The sequence below is a fragment of the Homo sapiens genome, chromosome 5, assembly GCF_000001405.40.
Source record: "Homo sapiens chromosome 5, GRCh38.p14 Primary Assembly".
NCBI lineage: Eukaryota > Metazoa > Chordata > Mammalia > Primates > Hominidae > Homo > Homo sapiens.
Window position 1 is genome coordinate 153,485,055 of NC_000005.10, and position 15,406 is coordinate 153,500,460.

The 15,406-nt window shown below is 42.4% G+C and overlaps 1 protein-coding gene across 14 annotated transcripts in view; it reads left to right on the top strand.

The window, feature by feature from the left end:
* GRIA1 (glutamate ionotropic receptor AMPA type subunit 1) overlaps positions 4,561-15,406 on the top strand; it is a 324,255-nt gene continuing 313,409 nt past the window's right edge. For 6 of the 14 annotated variants that reach the window (NR_157093.2, NM_001258020.2, NM_000827.4 and 3 more), the window contains exons 1-2: positions 5,616-5,916; positions 8,874-9,011. Coding sequence is in view for 11 of the 14 variants with exons in the window: in NM_000827.4 (NP_000818.2) it covers positions 5,835-5,916; positions 8,874-9,011 (220 nt within the window). In the remaining 3 variants the exon portion in view is untranslated. Of the gene's footprint in view, positions 4,784-5,615; positions 6,279-7,117; positions 7,257-8,873; positions 9,012-15,406 lie in introns of those variants that run through there. The other 8 variants (NM_001258021.2, NM_001258022.2, XM_017009392.2 and 5 more) reach the window with 6 other exon arrangements.

Consider the following 15,406-nt stretch of genomic DNA (forward strand, 5'->3'; position numbering starts at 1 on the left):
GAGTTCTTAGCTTAGCTTGACAATCAGGTGAATGAAGGTGTCATGTAGGGAGATTGGAGGGATGAGGGAAGGAGCAGGTTGGGGAGCACCAGCAGCAGAAGTTTGTGTATTCCTGATGGGCAGATGTTTTGAGGGTGGGGGAAGTGACATAGGCTTAATAGAAGACTGGCACACTGAGCTATAGGAGAAGCTTTCTGAAGTGGATTGGAACAACAGGGAAGGCCTCCAATGCCAGGATGACTCTGGACTCTAACCAAAAATAATGACATTTCACACCTCTGTACAGGAATGGCTGGCAGAGTCATTTCTGTGTGTTTGGAGATTCACCAGTCCCTTCACATGGAGCATGTCATTAATGCCCTCTCTAGCCCCACAAAGTATAACCTCTCATTATCCCCACTTCCCAGATGAAGACATTGAGACAAAGGGGTTAAATAGCTCATCCAGAACCACCCATCTGGGGAGGATGGCGGTGAAGGTCTGGCTCTATTGTCTCCTAGACTAGGGCCAGATGAGCTGCAGGGCCTCTCAGGAGAGCTGGTGCCAATGCTGCATGGTGGCCACCCGCCCATGTGAGTGTGGCCCAGGTGGCCTCTCTGAAGGCATTGCTGATTTAAAGGAATAGTCAGTGCCTCCAATTTCTACCAGTAACAATGGTGCTGCGTAGAAGCTTCCCCATGGAATCGTGGAATAGACTTTTTTTTTTTTTTCAGGCACTGATCCTGCCCCAGGGTGTTTTCCAGAACTTGCATGGCTCCCTAATTACCTAGTAATGCTGAGAGCTTATGAAAATGCTGTCATTTGTGTGAGGAGGGGAGGGAAGACTGAAAGAAGAAGAAGAAAAAAAAGCAGATAGAAAATGCTGTTAAACCTGGCAGAACTCCAGGGTGGGTAATTACATTCTTTGGGGTGTGTTCTCACCACACACACAGTCTGTGGATTATTTTGGAGCCTTCTGTATGAATTGTGCTAGAAAACATGAAAAAATATTATCATTATTATTTTTTAAAACATCTTTAAAAATAAGGCCTTTCTAAAGCCACAGAGGCACCCTCTCTCTGATTGCATTTTTGCCAGTTGGTTAGCTGTCAGCAATCTGTTCTTAGATCATAAATTTGATGGTCCCCCCACCCCCTTGAATTGCTTTACACTAGAAACCTAAAATGTTAAAGCCAGAAGAAACCTTGGTGAAACACCCATATTTTGCAGATGGAGAAACTAGTCCAAGAAGGGAAGGAACTTGCCAATACCACTATCACAGGTAATAGGAGGTAGAGGAGAGAATGGGCCTCCCCAGACCTGACATCTGTCCTTTCTCTCCCTTACCCCAGCCCCTGCTGTCAAATGGAGTTACAGAGTGTCAGAACCAGAAGGGTCTGTAGCCATCACCACATCTAATCTTGTCATTTAATAGATGAGGAAACAGTCTTGTAGAGGAAATGGACTTGGCCCCTAAATTGATACTGGGCATGAGAAGTGGTTGGACTCTTGTCTCCAGGATTCCACTGGCACTCCGTGGCCTGTCAGTCAGATCAAGCTCAGAGGCACTACTCTTACCCTACCCCTTTTTTCCCTAAGTCACTATATTCCATATCCCATATATGTGTGTGTATATATATATATATTCCATATTTCTACTTTTCCTTGAGAAAAGAATCTGAGGATCTAGCCACTCTAGGCCTACAATTCCTCATGGTAATAATCTGCTGCCTATTGAGTCCCTGTGGCCACCTTTAACAGGGCACAGTCTCTCTAGTTCCGTTTGTCTTCCCCATTCTCCCCAACTTGGCTCACTTCATTCATTTCCCTGCCTGGCTCAAGGAAGCATTTGCATTTGTAATCCCTGTCCAACACCATTCTCCTTGATTTGCGGTGTCAAAACAAAGCCAAAATAAGTAAATCTTAGACTGTTTTGGCTACATGGTAAGAGGACTTAAAGTATGCCAAAAATATGAGCTGGGATGGGTCATAATTAATTTGAGGAGTAGGTGCCATGCTGTCTCTAGAGCACAATTTGAGCAGCATTTGGAGGCTTTTCCAATGGGATGTCAGCCACCTGGAGTTCCTCCATTAGATACTTAACTGCTGGACTTTAATGAGCACCCATCTTCAGATATCCCACTTTAAAATATGAAAAGTCTTAAAAGATAATCAACTTAATTTTTCTTCAGTGTAATATAATGGGAGGGACGCTGCAGGGTCCTGGTGCCCAGTCCCTGGCATGCCAATCACTAGTCCCCTTAAGGAAGGTTTTTTGGCCTCAATGCTATTTATATTTGGAACCAGATAATTCTTTTTTGTGGGGTGGATGCTCTGTGAATTGTAGGATGTTTAGTGGCATCCCTGGCCTTCACCCATGAGATTCCAGGGGTACAATTCCATAATTGTGAGAACAAAAAACATCTCTGGACATTTTTGCCAAATATCCCCTGGGGGAGAAAATTGCTGTCAGTTGAGAACCACTGTCTTAAGCTAATCATGTAGCCACTTTGAAGACTTTGCCACTTTGGGAATGGCAAATAGGACTGGGGACTCTAAAGAGAGACAGCATGATGAGCTAATAAAGGATGACGTCAAATAAGTTATTTAGGGAAATGAAGCTGTTTGGTAGGTAGTTCTAACCTTTGAGGATGAGGAAATGAGAAAATCACCTTCTACCAGTGGTCAATCTTTTCTTTCTCATGCACATGCCCGCTATTGTAACTAGCATACTAAAAATGCCCCCATGGCTCATCATGGTCCACCAGGAATTCAGTGGGTTCCAAATCCTGACACTGACTTCCTCTAAGTTCCAAGTTCCCCAGTACACTCTTCCCAGTTATGCACTGCCGGCTCCAGGCTAACAGAGCACGTGGCATTCTTTCCTGCCCCCAGCCTTTGCTGGGGCTCTTTCCTTGGTTTGCATGTCCTTCCCAGTCCTCAGTTACTGCCTATAATCTCCTCATCCTTCACGGCTCAGTTCTTTTGAAGCCTTGCTGGATCCCCACAGACAGACACACTGATTGCATCCTTCTTTGCTCCCCCGCTGCTGTGTTTACATCTTTTAGAGCACTTGTCATGGTCTTTCTGGGTGACAGTTGTCCGGGTTCGTCTGTCTTCTTCTTCTGCCACATTCACCTGCCTTGAGGCAGAGACTGTGTCTGATTCCTCTTCATATTGCCCAGCACCTGGCACCCTGTGAGATACAGAATAGGTTCCCCACCAACATTTGAAATGAAGAGAATTATAAAGAAACATGGAATAAACATTGAACCTAATGTAGTTTGACCTAGATGCCTACACTTGAAATATGTAAGTTCTATATTTAATCAGTGAACAACTATGTATTTAATAGACCAAGGGGAGCTATTGACCATACTTGAGCAGGGCAATGACGTAGACCTCTGTTTTAGGAAGATCTGCTTGACTATATGATTTATAATGACCATGGAAAATTCATCTTTTTGACTCCCTTAAAAGTCCCCTCCCTACAAAGTATGCAAAACAAATCTTACCTAATGCAGGGGGACATTGAGGTTTTGCTTGTAAAGGGTCTAAAGAGCTTCCTCTAAAAGGTGATTGCAAGGTGTGAAGCCTTTAATGACAGCCTAATTATTATTATTACCAGGCACAAAGCTTAGGGAACCTAAAAGATCCCCAGGTACTATTCAAAGTAGTAAGATACAAAAACTGAAAATGGAGAAATTAAAAGATGGAATCATTAAATCAGAGACTCTTAATGTTGGCAGAGACCTTAGAAGTGATCTTTCCTGATTCTGTTCTCTCATCTTCCTATGCTGATGCTTATTCTTCCTTTAGAAGGTTCCTACCCAGTGCTTGCTGTTATTAGAGCCTAAGAGTTAAGAGCTGGGGCCTGATGGTGGCATTTACTGTGTTTAAATGCCCAATCTCTTTCATTAGCAGTGAAAACTTGGGGTGAGTTTTTAGACCTCTGTTTCTTCATCTATAAAATGGGCATGAGGCTACCTACACAGGTATTGTACAAATAAATGATGCAGGTGCATTTCTTAGCATGGTACCTGGCACATTCAAAATAGTGAATAAACATTAGCCTTAAAAATTATTTTAGCTAATTAATTAATATATGTGAAAGTGCATAGGAAATCACAAAGCATTTGACCTCCAAGTTGTTCCTATTTTGGGGCTTCATTGTACATGGTCAGATATTTTTTACAAATCCCAGTCCTTGTAGCTGTCACTCAAGTCCACATGATATACAGTCCTGGTGAGGGAAGTGAAGAGTCTGTGGATAAAATGGCCTATTCATATGGCAAAGCAAAATGGAGTCCAAAGTCTATTATTTCTTTCTTACTAAAGACAAAGTTGACTTTCCTTTTCCTGGATCATCTCCTGTTGGACAGGAGTCCTGGCCAGGGCAGTAAGTCAACTGGTAACGGCCAAAGCACTCAAGTTTGTAGGTTGTACTGTACATCTTAGTAGGTCTGTGTCTTTATGACTTAATCCCAGAAGTCTTATCTTTTTCATCTGTAAAACAGGGCTCATGGCCACTTTACAGGTTTGGAGTGAAGATAGATGGATAAAAATCTGTAAAGTTCCTTCAAAAACTGTATTCTGTGGCGGCTAGTGGCTGCTGCTTTGCATTTAACACTACTATCCTGAACACAGCTGATCTCTCTACAGGTTATTTCAGCAGAAGCCCTGGTCTAGGAGAGTCTATGAAGTTCCAGCTTACACCAGACATGACCAGCATCCAGAAAGACCTGAAAGAAGCTTGAATCCTCTCACTAGAATCCCTGCAAAATGACTCATGTAATTGCTCTGTGTAAGTATCCTTAGTCTTTATTGTACACCCACACGATTCTGATGCTATAGACTCCTGTGGAATGCAGGGAAAGAGAGAAGGGGGCCCATTTTAAATGCCTAGGATTGAAAAGAGACCACCGTTTCACTTGTAAAGGTAGACAGGGACTGTCAAATACCTGGTCAAAATACCTGCCAGTCACTCCAGATCCTCCCTTGTTTGTCTATCTGTCATTCCTTCCATTAGGAGAGAGAAAGCTTTTTTTTTTTTTTCCTTTAAATTTCCTAGGAGGGATTTCTAGGGTCTTTCCCTCAGGAATTAGTTGTAGGAATAATTGGGCCAGTGGAGTGCAGGAGATATATCCAGCGCAGCCCATGCACTCCTAGAAAAAGTGACCTAGATCAAGCAGCTGGTGGATTGAGGACTATTGTGGGGACCCCCTGCCACCTACTGACTTACAGCTGAACCCACATTCCCAGCAGCTTCAGCCTGGGGGCTGGGGGAGCGGGCAGACCGAGCTCAGAAAGGCAGGGGAGGGTAAAGAGGACTGTGGGGTTGCCCCTTTCAGGACCAAGTGCCACGTGTCACACACCCCCACCTCCACCTTTCTGCACACACAGAAAGGAGGATAAGGTGAGGATGGGAGGAAGGGGGAACAGGTAGGGAGGTCGGCTGTGGAACTCCAAGCTAGCTCGGTGGGTATTAGCATAGAGCTTGCTGCCTGTGTGAGTGTGAGGGGGAGAGCGAGAGAGAGCAAGGGAGGGAGAGAGAGGCAGGCTGCGAGGGGAGAGGAGAGGGAGTGGGGGAGCCAGCGCTCCAGCTAGCATGAGGACGGGCTTCTTTTCCCGTGCTCAGTTAATCTGGCTGTCAGTTGGTGTTAACGCTGCAGTTTAAGTGTTCGGATTCCAAGGGAAACAGACAAACCTCACGAAAGGAAGGAAGCAAGCAAGCAAGGAAGGAACTGCAGGAGGAAAAGAACAGGCAGAACAGCGAGAAGAATAAAGGGAAAGGGGGGGAAACACCAAATCTATGATTGGACCTGGGCTTCTTTTTCGCCAATGCAAAAAGGAATATGCAGCACATTTTTGCCTTCTTCTGCACCGGTTTCCTAGGCGCGGTAGTAGGTGCCAATTTCCCCAACAATATCCAGATCGGTGAGTGAGGGGGCAGCCTGGGGAGGGACTTTCTGGGTCTGGCCAGGGATTTTTTTGGGGATAGGGGTTGTGTACCCCCTCCCCGGTACTGACTGTTTTGCTTGGCTCCCTAAAGCTGTGCTGCGGTAACAGAAGGGAGACTTGGGCTTACAGCCAGAGGAGGGGGCTTCTCCTGATCGGATGAGGGGCAGAGGGGAAGTGTTCACACACGCACACATACCCTACTCGCACTCCAGGCAAGAGCATGTGAAATGGAGGAACCATCGCTTTGGAGGAAAAAAAAAATCAGGCTGGAAAGGGTGGTGGGTGTTTAAGGAGTTAACTCTATTGCTTGGTAGATGGTGCTTGATTCCATTTTTAATGTAAGTATGTATGGTGTGTGTGTTTTCACGTGTGTGATTATATATTACATATGCACATATATATGTAATTGAAGGAGGCAGTGCTTTCTCTGCTGGGGGACAGAAAAGAGACCCTCGAGAAGAAGGAGTGAGGGGTGCTGGGTATATTGCAGCCACTGAAATAATGCCAGAAGGCCCCCACTCCAAGGCGGGTAGGCTCCCTCTCCTGTTCTGGACTCCTCCAGCTGCCTTCTCTTTGCTGTCTGCCATGCTGCGCTGGTGGTCTCCACTCCCCCGATCCTGGAACTTCCTCGCCTGCCTTTTCTCCGTTCCTTCCTTGCCCCCTCCTCTTAGATTTCCTATCCACAGAGGTCTACCTTTTACACACACAAACACACACACGTACACATGCTCCTTTCTCCTCCTGTTGGCTCTCCATTATCCTTGTTACTGGGCTCCATCCTCTCAACTTGGAGGCAGGTTTCAACATGCTGCATGCTTTTTTTGTTCCCCATTTCCCCTTCTTAGTTGTTACACTTCTCAAAGGCCCCGCCACCCTCCCTGTATTTCTGAGGGGACTGACAGATATTGCTACTCCTGATAATCATGAGGGAAAGCAAAACAAACAGAAGCAATAACACCAATCACAAAGCATGTCCACAAGGGCTTGGGGCTTCCGTGTGACCAGCATGTCAGTGTCGTTTGTGTCCCGGAATGAAGCAAGCTGCTGTGTTTGGAAGCATCTTCGTTGGTTTGGTTTCTAGTCTCTCTCCCCTGGTAGGGAGATAGCTCCACTAGGGAAAGTTCGCATTGCTGGGAGTTTGTGCTCTTTTGTGAGTGTGTGTTTGAGGGGGGATGTGGTGCAATTGATATTTTGTCGGGCATACATGTGCTGCAGTACCCATCTCTTTCAGCCTCTCCAGCTAGCTGGCGGCTTGGAGTGGCCATGGAGTAACTTGCTTTGTTTCCTGACACCTGTTAAGCTACATCCTGAAGTGTGTACGTATCTGTGTGTTAGTGCCTAACACGCAAAACTTCCTGCCTTCAGGGGAGACACTTCCCTTGTAGCCCAGCCCGTAGCCTTCTACTCCTCAACCTCCCATCCTTTCTCTTTCATTCATTGCAGAGGAGGAGAAAGGGGACAGGGAAGTGTTTGGGGTGTGGTCATCTGGGGGGAAGGGGGAGCATCATAATCAAGAATTTTTTTTGTTTTCATTCTTTAAAATGGGAGCACTTGTACATGTGGAAATCACTGGCTCTTACATGTGGCATTGTTTACATTTGTGCTTATATACTACCTATCCTTTGTGGCTTGGAAGTGTTTGTCTAGTATATTTGTGTATATAGTAAATGGTATAAATGCATGAGGATGTTTCATGTATGTGCTATGTTTTCTCATGTATCTCTGCATATTTTTAAAATTATATTTAGCCCTAACTTGGTTGTTCAACTGATAAAGCCATTGCTACTGTTTTCAAAAAAAAAAGAGATTGAAGCATTAAATTGTAGAACAAAATGCTGAAAATATCACTGCCATCAGGTAGTACTTGATTCTATTTGTGTGATCTGTAACAAAAGGCTTGCAATCCATTTATTGGTTCTTAAAAACAGACACCCACTCTACAAGAAGTTAGAAGTGCATTATGTTTGGACTGTGATTACTGTCAGATTTGAGATAAACTTCTATGTAAACATCATTATAGTTCAGTCTCTAGAAATGGCTGATTTTAATTCACAGAAATGTAATTGATTTACATGTTGACAGTAAATACAAAGGTAAGCCATGGACTCTTGTTTCTCGGAACAGGCATCCCATCAGGCACCTTTACTATACCTTTTACTAGAATAGAATGTTTGTATCCTCTTGAGATGCCTAAGATCCCACATCTTTGAAGCACAAGGTTCCACCATGCAAACACACAATGGCAATCCCTTATGTAACAAGTCATTCCTAGGTAACTGGGATCATGTGTGGTGAAAGAGTAAGCAAAACATTGTTTGCAGAAAAGCAAGAGTTTTTAGAGAAAATGAATAATAAACCTTAGGGGCAATAGAATAGTTAAATTGCATGCAGGTCTTGCTAGGCCAAAGACTAAAAACTGTCCATGTAAACAGTTATAGTAGTGGAGAAGCCCACAGGGTCCCAGAGCTAGATTTCAATCACCCTGCAGCACTGATTAGTACCTACTTCCCGTAAGGCTCTCTGGTGAGAGATGAGGCTGATGTAAGAAAAATTAGACATGACTAGAGGGTGAGGGGGCTTATGTGTATGTTTATATAAGAGAATAGCAGCTCCTAGGTGGTTTGCACAAGGGAGGAAGAAGAGAAATGGCACAAGTCTCCTGTTTTCTCTGACTTTAGCTGAGTTGAGGGGTACACAATCAAATGTTTGAGCAAAGTAATAGATATTAGAGGCCCATGTCACAAAAAAGCTCATCTGTAGGAGTTTAAGTTTCAGTGTCCAGTTAAGCCTATTTGAACTCTCATCTCTACCACTCAAGGCTACAGCTAGTGAGTTTGGCATGGGGAGAAGAAAAGGACTCATCTGGAGTGAGTCGTGAGGAACTAAAACCTGTCTCTAGCCCATATACCATGTTGCATTTTCTTTTCTCATAGGGGGATTATTTCCAAACCAGCAGTCACAGGAACATGCTGCTTTTAGATTTGCTTTGTCGCAACTCACAGAGCCCCCGAAGCTGCTCCCCCAGATTGATATTGTGAACATCAGCGACAGCTTTGAGATGACCTATAGATGTAAGTAATTGCTTCTATTTCTGAGATGTCTTTCTGCGCTAGACCAATGAAAGGAGGGCCTGTGGGTAGGTGGTGGTGTTGCAAAAATGACTTCAGTTGCCATTCGTCTTTGTAAGAGAAAGCCCTCCAAGAAAAATTTCTAGAGGCTTCTGAGTGATTCCAGCAGTTGGCATTTTAGCCCCTGCAATGCTTCATGTAATGGATTTGCTTTTTCACTGTCAGCTAACTTTAATGCCAGCACGATGGGTGCTTGGGTTGACTGCATCTTCCCTACCTTGCAGAGGTTTTCTGGCACAGCTGAGAGAGTTTTACACATACGAATCTTCTGAGAGGCATAGAATTAAGGGTCCTGAGTTTGTGAAAATGTGGTTTAAAGTGCTTAAGGCATTTCCTATCTACATGTTAAATGGACAGAATGTAGCTTGATAAGAAATAATAGCTGAGAAGTTGTACACATCTGGTTCTTCATTTTCGGAAGTGACCAATAATTAAAACTTGGTGCCTTGGTCATTTTAAAAATAGCTTGAGGAAATTGGTTGTTTAAGGCACAGTTTGTAGGATGGTCATTGAGCATCAAACAGAACAAAGGTGGCCTCAAGAAGAAGGGATAGATAAATCTCTGACATCTGAATTGAATGCATTGTAAAATGTGGGCAACAAACACCATTCTGAGTTTTCCTGGCAACTAGGAATGAAAAGGAAGCCTGTGCTCACATGATTGGCTTTTCATGACAGATGAAAGCATAAAAATTAATCAGGAAACATATTTTCCCTTCAGGGATTAAGCTCAAGTAAAAATTTATGGCAGGGAAATGTGAGCTGAATTCACAAGAACAATTTGAGACCCCAAACTGGATTGAATTGGCACGATAGTCTTGGTGTGTCACTATTGACTTGGTGACTTCTGCTGAGCTGTCTCTGGTGGAAGTCATGGACCATATTTCCTTTGTGTCTTTCTCATAGTCCCACTGGTGAGTTCTCAATGATTTGAATAGGCTATGCTTTGAAGTCTCAAAATGAGAAGTCAGAATTCTTTCTATCCCAAAGACCACTCCTAAAATAATGTTGTTACAAATTCCAAGAACTATAATTATAGCAGATTTCATTTATTGAGAACTTACTGTGCATCAGAACTATGATAAATACTTTATAGTCATTTATAGTCACATTCATTACCATGTATTAAGCACTGACTACAGCCCATGTAATGCACTAATTGCTTTTTATGTGTTAGCTCATTTAATCCTCACAGGAGCTTTGCAGAGTACTAGACATTATCTTCCTTTTAGAGATGAGAAAACTGAGGCTACAACAGATTATATAACTTGCCCAAGGTTACTCAGGAAGCAAATGGTGGTTTTGAGACCTGAAGGTCCATGTTCCTGGATACTGTGACAGATACACTGATTCTTATGGTACCCTAATCAACTAGTGGGATTACCCAAGAAATGAAAGGGAATTTTCAGGGTCTTGTAAGGCAGAGGTCTAATAAAGTACCTAAGGAGAAAAACTTACAGTGTTTCAAACTGTAGCTATGATTTGCACAGGACTGGTCCATTGAATAAATAAAATAGCAATTCTTCATTTTGGTAATGCTGAGGTTGAAAATCTTATCTACTGTGTTACTCACTACCCTTAAAAAAATAGCTGAAGTTTAATTGCTGAATTTTAGTTCTATGAAACTATCTTTCTGGGAATCTAGAATAATACTGAGTAGCTATTTTGCTATTAGATAACCTTTCTTTACTTTTTAATGTGGCTTTGATTAGGGTCTTTGGAAGGGGCATTTGGTTGGGGGCATCAGTGTACCTATAAATGTTTAAACGCATATACATGTGCTAATTTATTTCCTGGAGCAGGGCTCCATAGCTTTTGTCATACTTTATAGCTTTTGTATTACTTGCATAGAGAATCAAGAATAAATAGCTGGTGTGTGTATTCACTCATGCTGCTGAGAAATATCTACAGCAGGTTTTGGTTGAAAGAGATGTGAACTGCTCTCCTAGTAGTGTCAAGATGTTGACTGGCACAGCAAGAAAATAAAAGACAAAAATAGGAGAAAAGGTTCTAAGGCAAAAGGTGGTGCTTCTGTCTTGTTATCTCAGCAACCTAAGACTTGATCTCTAATAGGGTTAATGACTGTTTATTAGGGAGACAGAAATATGATACAGACAATGTTGTTCATTTTGGTCAACAGGCCTGGAGTGGATGAATCTGAGTTCTTGAACTTGATGCTGCCATCCATGAACTAGTGTACAGGTTTCCATGAATTCCTGTCTTGTTCGTTCAGTTAATTCTTTAAGTGTTTCTTCAAAGCTATAAACTGAAATAGATATTGGAAATACAGAGATGATAAAATGCCCTTGCTCTCAGGTAGCTTACAGTCTAGTGGGAAACATTGTTATGGGGATTATCTGAGAAGCAATAATCTTATTTTGTGCTTAGACTTTGTGTTTCTTTTCTTTAGCTCCCAGATCCCAAAGGGGGTACTGGGCAAGTTAGGTGGAAATGGTGGCCTGGCTGGAGGAGCCTCTCTTAAATTTCATGTAAGGCTAGGAATACTTTAGGGCTGTGTTCACTGTGGTCCATTGGTTTGGGAAAACTTTACATCTGTCCCAATTTTAATTGAGTAAAAAATGTCAGTGGGAGCAAAGCAGTTTTAGGAAGAATGTACTCATTACTGATACATGGAAAAGCAAGAAAAGCATCTTATTCAGACTAATTTTCTGTGCTGTGTTTTTTGAAATCTGAATTAGTAGTTGCCTTAAATTAACTGCCCAATAAGTCTTAGATCTAGAAAATGACCAAATTTTATTTGTTTTTTTTTCATAATTTTTGCTGTCATTTGATTTTTTCCCTTTGCATTTTGCTATTCATTGTCCCTCCACCAGAGGGTGGAGAAGGGAAGGGAGAGGAAGTGTAATGGGACCTGTTCATGCTAGACATGTTAGCAGCAGGGGACTAAAAATGAGGAGAGGTGGTTATATGGTAGGGAAGGTGGGGAAGATAGAAGAGGACTATGGCTACTACTACTGGCCAAGGTGAGAGTTTGGTGCCTTCTTCGTGTTCAATCTTTCTTGCTTCCCTGGTCTGCCATTGTTAAAGAGTAAAGCCATTGAATCAGCAACCCAATGCCTTGGGATCTCCTTTAAGCACTTTTCCAAGCTTACAGGGGTAGAGTTTGGGGAGATTGTGCATAGAGAAGATATTTACTGATCAGCTACCCAGCTTATTTTGGTGCCTTTGTGGTAAGTGTAAATAAAGGAATAAATGAAATGCTGATTGAGATTATTACTATTAGAGGTCTGAGTAGCATAGTTGCAGCTTAATTCTTACCTTTTAATTTATTCACCTATTTATTCATTCATTCATTCAGCAAGTACATACTGAATGCCTACTTCATGCCAAACACTGGGCCAGACGCTAGGAATATAGGGGCCAGGAAAGAAGGCACAGCCTCTTTCCTTGTGGAGCTAACAGTTTAGCCCAGAGGTTCACAAACTTCAGTGCACTTAAAATTCACTCAGGGAGCTTGTTTAAAGCAAGACTCATGATGAACTTTTTACTTCTTGAATCAAGATATTCAAGAGTAGGCCCTGGAGGAATTCTATAGCAATTATTATGGGGATTACACTTTAAGAATCTCTTTAATCTAAAAAGTCTTCCATCCCTTTAGTAAGCATTTTTGAGCCCTCAACCAAACCTAGGCATGACATAAAGTGCTACAAATGCAGACAACAGTAAGTTGCATTCCCCACCCTGGAGTACTTTATCCATAGTAAGACATTTTCTATCCTGTAAAGAGAAAATTAAAATGTAATGTTGTAAGTGCTATAGCAGCAATTTGTATGGAGTATTGAAGATTCCTTGAAGAGTGGAGTTTGTCTCTAGGAGGTGGTGATTGAATTGAGCCTCAACGATAAATAGGGTTATCTATCTGCAGAAGGGGTCACCAAATATAGCCATCCACAAGCCAGTTCCAGCACAGAGACTGAGTTCTGGGCCCATACACTGTGTAAGAACCATGGAATTTCACATTAGAACTTGGACATCTTGTCTTGACTAATATTTTTAAATATTAAAATATCTGGCAACACTAGGGCCCAGGTCTATGCAGCCTCAATTTGCTGAGATGGGACAGAGTAAACCCCATCTACATGGCCTCTTTCCCAATCAGCCCATTCTTCCCATTTTCTTTACCTGCTGGCTTTGGCAAGCATTGAGTTTGCAAGCCCTGATTGATAGCACTGCAATGTTGTCTGTGTTGTGTCTTTATAGGTTAGCTTCACCACCAGAATATAAACTGCTGTCAGAAAGACCATGTATATCTATAGTTTAGTGTTGAGAACACTTGGAAATGCCTCTAATACAAATGAATAAATGTCTGTAGGAGTCAGGGAATTACACAGCATAAAAATGTTCAGAGCCTCAATGACAATAGGTGAAAGGTAGCAACCCTAACTACAGTGGGATGCCCTCTGTCATGGACCTACTGGGGAAGCCCAGGGGCTTCCTAACAAGACATTAGGCACTGGCAACAGAGAGATGGCCTTAGCTCTTGCCTGAACATGGCTCATCAACTTCAGAGTTGCAACACAGATTTGTTTTTCTTGACCTACACAATGCTTTTTCATATTTGGCATAAAAATCCAGATTTCTGGCATCTTTAAAAAAAAAACTTAGGGCATTAAGCAACCCTAGGCCCACATTCCTGCTTAACTTCTATTTTCTAGAGCTGAGAAGTGCTGCCCTTTTTAAATACATAAACTCCCAAGTTAACCAAAGTTTCCATTACTTCCTGTTTGATTGCTAGAGTAATCAAATTATGTTGTTTGGGCAGGCCTGTAAGTAGGCCAATCTACTCATACCTGATTTATATCGTCAGCATTCATCATTTTATTATTTTCTTCTAATAATATCTATTACTTACCCTGTCAAAAATAATAAAAGACACAAAAGATGTATAACTCCTACTCTCAAAAAAATTAGTGTGTATACAGTAATGAAGAGAATGGTGGCTGATGGTGGGATAAACAAGAATTATTTTGAAGACCTACTATGTGCCAAATACTTTGCAGATGTTGTCTTAAGTTTTATAACTGTCTTGAAAGGTGATTATCCCCATTTCATTGATGATGGTACTGAGACTGAGAGAGATTGTGTCTTCTTTATATTATGCAACAAATAAAAACCTAAGCTAGTATTTAAAGCCAGTTTGGGGGGCTCCAAAACTCAATGAGCATTCTCCTTTTAAAGATCTATGAATATGGCCAGGGGCAGTGGCTCACACTTGTAATCCCAGCACTTTGGAAGGCCGAGGTGGGCAGATCATGAGGTCAGGAGATTGACACCATCCTGGCTAATACAGTGAAACCCCATCTCTACTAAAAATACAAAAACTTAGCTGGGCGTGGTGGCACGCACCTGTAGTCCCAGCTACTCAGGAGGCTGAGGCAGGAGAATTGCTTGAACTCAGGAGGCAGAGGTTGCATTGAGCCAAGATCACGCCACTGCACTCCAGCCTGGCAACAGAGCGAGAATTTGTCTCAAAAAAAAAAAAAAAAAAAAAAAAAAACTATGAATATATGGACAGAGAAAAGTACCATAGCAGTGAAATAGCCCAACGGTAGAAGTGTCACAGTGGAATTTATGATTCAAGCTTAAGAGCTAAGTCTTCCAAGGCAGAAGCTATGACTGTGGATGATGAAAACTTCTTGGGGAAGGTGGAACTTTAGCAGGCATTAAAGGGTGGAGCAGATTTTGGTTGTGGAGTGGGAGGAGGGTATTTTGAGTGGGTAAAGTCACAATATTCCTCCTCGCCTCCCCTCAACCACTGCTGCATATGCTTGTTACCATGTGGTGGAGATTTGGGAGTTTGCCTCCTGCACCACACTATGTTCTCAGCTCCATGGCAGATGTCTACATTTCTCTGGTTAATGTTACAGTCTGAAGTTGGCTCCTCAATCTTCACCCGTGCCCTTACATTAAGGCACACAAGTGTTGACATTTGTCTGTGGTTGACTCTTGGCTCTTATTATAATATTGATAATCATCAGCTTTTATGGATAGAAAAATCCTTGTAAACATTTCTTTCCCTGACTAGTTTGAAGATCCTGCTGGGATGAGTGAGCTTACTGCTCTCCTCTCAGCCACTCAGGATAAAGTGATCATATAGCACATTTGGAAAACTGGTAAGCTTCATGTATTTGTTCATTCATTCATTCATCCGAAACCCTTTTATTATCACCTTCTATGGGGATATGTACTGTCACTGCCCCACTCCATACCTTTGTAGACAGCATTAGTTGATTACAGAATTTTTTCCCACTGAATCTACACGTGGCCTCAAATTGGTGACAGCTGATGCAAGAGATGAAATCCATTTTTCATTACAA